Raw genomic sequence first — 6,916 nt, forward strand, 5'->3', positions numbered from 1 at the left:
AAAGCTCACCAACCAAAGAAAAGACCACAGGTCTTACCTACAGAAAATAGTTGCATGACTGTACTTGCTGTAGTGAGGAGGAACTGGTCATGGGATATCTCAGAAACATGGAGCAAGGAGGGGCTTTTTTTTTTTTTTTCCCGAGACGGAGTCCCTCTGTTGCCCAGTCTGGAGTGCAGTGGCGTGATCTCAGTTCACTGCAACCTCCGCCTCCCAGGTTCAAACAATTCTCCTGCCTCAGCCTCCCGAGTAGCTGGGATTACAGGTGCATGCCACCACGCCCAGCTAATTTTTGTATTTTTCGTAGTGACAGGATTTCACCATGTGGTCAGGCTGGTCTCAAACTCCTGACCTCAAGTGATCTGCCCGCCTTGGCCTCCCAAAGTGCTGAGATAACAGGCGTGAGCCACCGTGCCCAGCCAGGGAGGGGCTTTTTATAGGGTTTGGCCTTTGTTCGGTGATTCTAAGAAGGAATGGTTAGTCTTTTTTTTTCCAACTACGGTACAGCATTAATTATGTTTGGTTAGAAACATTGTTCTGTTGGCCTTTCTGTGTCCTGTCGAAAACATTGTTTATCACAGTCTGACTGCTGGCAGAGTTTCTCAAGCTCTGATTAGAATTAAGGGTCCTGTTTGGGGAAAGTAACTGCATAGAAGGCCATAGAAAAGGCTCAGTAGGACTGTAGTTCCAGAGGAGCACTCTGTGAAAATTTCAACCACAGCAGAGGAAAATGGGGACTTCGACTTGTATGGAGATAGGAGGCTGCTCGGCCGCTGTGAAAAATCTAAGGGGAGCCCTGCATCAGATATCCAGAAGCTGTTTCCTGCATTTCCAAGGATGCTGTGCCCTGTAAGAAGATTTAGAGATGTGTGAGAGACGTAGGGACGTGAGGAGAGAACAGCAAAATTATATAAAGTGTAAGATATTGTGTACTTCCCCTTCCTGTTGTGGTTGGCTTTGAGCTAGAACACCTTGAGGATTTGGCTTTGAGTTACAAGCAGTTAGTTTCTCTTAGGCTAGCAAAGCTGGAGACAATACACAAGTGTATACTTCCTTTTCTTCTGAAAAAGCAACAAGGTTGGATAGATTTAGTTTTGCACATGTGAGGCAAAAACATTCTCTAAAATGAAAAGGGTTGACATAACAGGGAATCTAAAATGTTCAGTGTTTGTGTGTGTGTGTGTGTGTGTGTGTGTGTGTGTGTGTTTACTTCTTTATTCTTTTTTGAGAAGCTTTCTTTTTTTTTTTTTTTTTTTTTTAGGTTTACATCACCGGAACAGGAGGAGGGACACACCCAACAGCTGTAGAAGCAGGAAATATCTAATACAAAACTAAAGTACAAAAACATGAAAACAGAGTCTTTGCGCATATTTTGTTCCTGCTGACTGCCTTGAAAAAGTCTACATTTCCTATACATATGATTGGGAATGGGGAGGGCTTGGTTCTCCTTGTGCAACATATTCAGCATGATTTAGGCAGTTTTATCTCTGCAAATTTATTGTTTCCTTTGGAGAAGTATTCATTTTCTAAATCACATCTCAGAAGTATCAAGAGTTATGTACCACAGGACAGCAGGGGGCAATTATAGAAGTCAGATTCACGTCAAGCCAGAGTACATTCTGTGAGGAGGAACTGACCCAGGCTTGGCAAGTGTCAGCTTGAATTAACCTTTTTTTTTTTTTTTTTTTTTGCCAGGAGTCTCCCTCTGTCGCCCAGGCTGGAGTGCAATGGCACAATCTCAGCTCACTGCAACCTCCACTTCCCCAGTTCAAGTGATTCTCCTGCCTCAGCCTCCCGAGTAGCTGGCATTACGGGTGCGTGCCACCACGCCCACCTAATTTTTGTATTTTTAGTTGAGACAGGGTTTCGCCATGTTGGCCAGACTGGTCTCAAACTCCTGACCTCAAGTGATCTGCCCGCCTCAGCCTCCCGAAGTGCTGAGATTACAGGCGTGAGCCATCGTGCCCGGACTTAAATTAACTATTAATAGGGATATTTAGAACTGAAAAATACACATTTTGAGGAATGTGACAAAAAGTGTCCTTATTTTTCATAATTGATATGGTTATGGATGGCTAATGACCTGTGTGCTATAGGATCTGTGTATCTTGTGTGGGGATGCTGCATTCTAACTCTAGAACCGGCCAATTGCCTTGTAAGGGGAGGATGAGTAATATAGTTTTAGAGAAGAGATTATTTCTCTCTAAAGAAAGTGAAACTTAGATAAGAAACAGAAATTTAGCCCGGGCGTGGTGGCTCACACCTGTAATCCCAGCACTTTGGGAGGCCGAGGCAGGTGGATCACGAGGTCAGGAGATAAAGACCATCCTGGCTAACACGGTGAAACCCCGTCTCTACTAAAAATACAAAAATTAGCCGGGCGTGGTGGCGGGCGCCTGTAGTCCCAGCTACTCCGGAGGCTGAGGCAGGAGAATGGCGTGAACCCGGGAGGCGGAGCTTGCAGTGAGCCGAGATGGAGCCACTGCACTCCAGCCTGGGCGACAGAGCGAGACTCCGTCTAAAAAAAAAAAAACAGAGAGCGAGAGACTATGTTTTTAGAACAGTTTTAGGTTCACAGCAAAATGGAAAGAAAGGTACCTCCTGCCCCCACACATGCCAGCTCCCTGGTTTTCAACATTGCCCACCAGAGAGCAGCATGTGTTACAATGAGGGAATCTATGCAGATACATCATAACCACGGAATGTCCGTAGTTTACATAAGGGTTCACTCTTCATGTTGCACATTCTTTGGGTTTGGACAAATGTATAAGTGACATGTATTCACCACTATGGTATCAGACAGAATAATTTAACTGCCCTAAAAATCCTCTGTGTTTTGCCTGCCCATCCCTCCTCTTCGCAGCCCTTGGGCAACCACTGATCATTTTCCTGTCTCCATAGTTTTGCCTTTTCCAGAAATGTCATATACTTGACATCATTCAGTATGTAGCCTTTTCAGATTGGCTTCAATATATTCTTTTCTATATCCATCACCTTTTTTGTCCCATTTGGTTCAGTGTTTCTCAAAATGTGGTGTTTGAACTATCTCTGTCAGAACCACATGAAAGTTGTTAAAAATATACATTCTCAGTCTCATATTTGACTGATTCAAAATATTAATATCTGGGTGTGGAACCTAGGAATTTGTATTTTAAACACACAGTACAGGTTATTCTTACACATACTATAGTCTGAACACCAGCAAAGTCTCTACTATGCTGCCAGGAATTAAGGTGGGGACGTATGTTCATAAAAGGTGATAGTGGCCGGGCGTGGTGGCTCAGTCCTGTAATCCCAGCACTTTGGGAAGCCGAGGCAAATGCATCGGCCTCCTGACCTGAGGTCAGGAGTTCGAGATTAGCCTGGGCAACATGGCAAAATCCTGTCTCTACAAAAAATACAAAAATTAGCCAGGCATAGTGGTGGGCACCTGTAGTTCCGGCTACTAGGGAGGCTGAGGTGAGAGAATCTCCTGAGCTCAGGGAGGTGGAGGCTGCAGTGAGCTGTGATTGCACCGCTATACTCCAGCCTGGGCGACAGAGTGAGATCCTCTCCCAACCACAAAAAAAAAAGTAATAGGATTTACCAAAAAGGAGCTGGCAGTGATAGCAATAGAAAGGGACCCCAAAGGGAAGATCGGGGCTTCAAAGTCTAGCTATTCTACAGAGCCCATGTGTAACATGTGTAAATTCCCCATCTATTGCCAATTGTATAGTTTTAATTTGATTGATATTGCAGGAGCTAGCGATTTCCTGCAGACTTTGACTCTTTCTCTCTGGAGAAGCCTAGAAATACCTTATGTATTATTTGACAACAGATGAAGCCTGAGGTTTTCATCTTGGACTACCGTTAAATCCTTACGAAAGTGACCTTCTTTGAACTAGACAATACCTCCTGTAACCATTTTAGTAGGATCTCCCTTGAGTTTCAGTTCTACCTTCTCCAAGTTCTACAAAGACTCCTCATCAGTATTTCATGTGGAACCCAAATGAAAGGTTGGGAATTGCTGATCAGTCTGCTGTGTGGCCTAATGAGGCCTGGACACCTGAGTGATGACACAGACACACAGGAGCCCCAATAATAATTTATACTTGCTCTTTGTCACACATGCGTGCCATGCACACCCTACTCTATGTCTCTGTATGGTCAGTCCCTCCTTCCCTCTCTCTTTTCCTTCCCTCCATATGCCTTATGCCATTGCTAATCTCCTATAGAAGCAAAACTCACGCTTTGTTCTGCTTCCAGTATGATTAAGCACATCACATACTATAGATAGGAACAAAATCAAACCACTTCACATTCTCAAGAAAAACTTAAAAGAATAGGGTCATCCTGACTGGTTCTGGTCTCCAAAATAATAAACTCTAAAAAATTTGCAGTGAGCCTGGATTCTCTAAATAATGCTGTCCCTGACTTTTGCTATGCTGATATGAATGATCTTTTTCTTTTTTTTTTTTTAATTTTTTGGAGACAGGGTCTCACTCTGTCACTTAGGCTGGAGTGCGGTGGCACAATCATGGCTCACTGCAGCCTCGACCTCCTGGGCTCAAGCGATCCTGTCATCTCAGTAGCTGAGACTACAGGTGTGTGCCACCATACCTGGCTAACGTTTGTACTGGGTTATAGAGAAGGGGTTTTGCCATGTTGCCCAGGCTGGTCTTGAACTCCTAGGCTCAAGTGATCCACCCATTTTAGCCTTCCAAAGTGCTGGGTTTACAGTTGTGAGCCACCATGCCTGGCCAACATGAATGATTTTTGCATATATGATACCTGTATGAGTAAGTGGCTTTTTTCCTCACCTTCAACAGGCTGATATAAATTTAGTGCCCTGATAATTTTGTCTTTCTTTCCATTTGAATACTTGTGTTTTCAATTTGCTGAGCCACTCTTTCTGGCTTCATCAGAAAGAAGTCTGACACCCTTATACTGACAGCAAGTTAAGTTTCTCTTTCCTGGTCTCTTTTTCTTCTGTTTTTAATTTTCAGAGTAGAATTAGGCTTTTTAAAATAATACATATTTTTAAACTGACAAATAAAAATTGTATATATTTACTGTGTACAACAGGATGTTTCAAAATATATATACATACCCTACTGGAGTGGGTAAATCAAGCTAATTACCATATGCATTACCTTATATACTTATTATTTTCATTATGAGAATCTCTTTCCTCTTCTAAATGCGGAAGTCTCCTGAGGATCTCTGTGGCACTCTCTTCCAAGCCTTTGTACTGTGCTCTTGGGAATCCCTTCTATTGCAGTAATAGCACTTCTCTCCCCCAGCTCAATGAAAGCATCATCATCTACCCAGTGACCTAAACCCTAAACTTGGGAGTCATCTGTGATTCCTACCTCTGCTCACTTTTTTTTTTTTTTAATACAGAGTCTTGTTCTGTTACCCAGGCTGGAGTGCAGTGGCACGATCTCGGCTCACTGCAACCTCTGTCTCCCGGGTTCAAGCAATTCTCTGCCTCAGCCTCCTGAGTAGCTGGGATTACAGGCACCTGCCACCACACCTGGCTAATTTTTGTATTTTTAGTAAAGATGGGGTTTCACCACGTTGGCCAGGCTGGTCTTGAACTTCTGACCTCGTGGTCCACCCACCTCAGCCTCCCAAAGTGCTGGGATTACAGGTGTGAGCCACTGTGCCCGGCCAATGAATGAATACTTCTAATAAAGTGTCACAGTTATTTCTGTTTTTTGCCTGTTTTTTTTTTTATTTTTAATCTGTCTTTTTAATCTTGTGTTCAGTGCTCATTGAATTGCCCTTTGTTGCATAGCTAGCTAGAAAGGGATTAGGTTTGGCACCTGGGAGCACAAGTCCTCACTCCCAGATCAATTTACTTGTCCCTAACACCATGTTGCCTCTTTAATGCTCTGCAAATAAAAATATTATAACACACCCCTCCTCTGAGTGCTTCTCTAGGCTCACAAACCACAGTTTCGGTTTCTTTTCTGATAATCAGTTTCATTTCTTCATAGTCACATCTCTTGCTGGCAAGCATCACGTTATTTTCCAGCAGCATGTTTCAAATATTGAAATCCCTCATCCTTGGGGAACTATAGCTGTTTAATTATTTAAAATAGCATGAAAATAGGTGTTTCAATCAACCACAGTATTTAATGTTTCTGGTAATAGATACCATCTGAGAAGGAGCTCAGTATATTTACTGATAAAGCACTTTGCCTCCAACTTCTAATTGACCAAAACAAGGTCTATTAAAACTGAAATTCAGAAAAAACTTAACTAATTTTGCCCAAATTTCAAACAATACTAACAAACATTAGAATTTATTTTGAACTTGATTTATGGCCCTCATCAGACTATGATAATTTTTTCAAAACAATGATATATCTTAATATTTCAGCATTAAGTCCTATACATAGTTTCAGAGGATTTCAAGGAAAGTTGAGAATTTGTTGTGAATACATATATAAGACATAGAGAAAGCTGAATTAATGTAAAAATGGCTGAGTTCATATTTTATGAACCCCGGATGAGGTTATTTGTAGTGTCCAAGCTTTGGAGCCAAATAAACTTAGATTTCCTTTTTTTTTTTTTTTTTGAGACGGAGTCTCACTCTGTCGCCAGGCTGGAGTGCAGTGGCGCAATCTTGGCTCACTGCAACCTCCATCTCCCAGGCTCAAGTGATGCTCCTGCCTCAGCCCCCAAAGAAGATGGGGTTACAGGCATGAGCCACCACGCCCAGCTAATTTTTGTATTTTTAGTAGAGACGGGGTTTCGCCACGTTGGCCAGGCTGGTCTCGAACTCCTGAGATTAAGTGATCCGCCCACCTCAGCCTCCCAAAGTGCTGGGATTCCAGGCATGAGCCACTGTGCCTGGCCTGATGATTTGTCCTTTACATCTCAGTGTCCTCACTTCTCAAACAGCAATATTCATCTAACAGAATTCGTT

At 42.8% G+C, this 6,916-nt stretch overlaps 3 annotated features.

Moving 5' to 3' along the window:
- Positions 651-830: an enhancer, noted in NCBI's record as "active region_13024". NCBI's record gives its function as "activates an Ori minimal core promoter by ATAC-STARR-seq in GM12878 lymphoblastoid cells {active_cell/tissue: GM12878}" and the evidence as "EXISTENCE:reporter gene assay evidence [ECO:0000049][PMID:35858748]".
- Positions 1,421-1,470: an enhancer, noted in NCBI's record as "active region_13025". NCBI's record gives its function as "activates an Ori minimal core promoter by ATAC-STARR-seq in GM12878 lymphoblastoid cells {active_cell/tissue: GM12878}" and the evidence as "EXISTENCE:reporter gene assay evidence [ECO:0000049][PMID:35858748]".
- Positions 5,867-6,076: an enhancer, noted in NCBI's record as "active region_13026". NCBI's record gives its function as "activates an Ori minimal core promoter by ATAC-STARR-seq in GM12878 lymphoblastoid cells {active_cell/tissue: GM12878}" and the evidence as "EXISTENCE:reporter gene assay evidence [ECO:0000049][PMID:35858748]".

This window comes from Homo sapiens, chromosome 18 (genome assembly GCF_000001405.40).
Source record: "Homo sapiens chromosome 18, GRCh38.p14 Primary Assembly".
Classification (NCBI taxonomy): domain Eukaryota; kingdom Metazoa; phylum Chordata; class Mammalia; order Primates; family Hominidae; genus Homo; species Homo sapiens.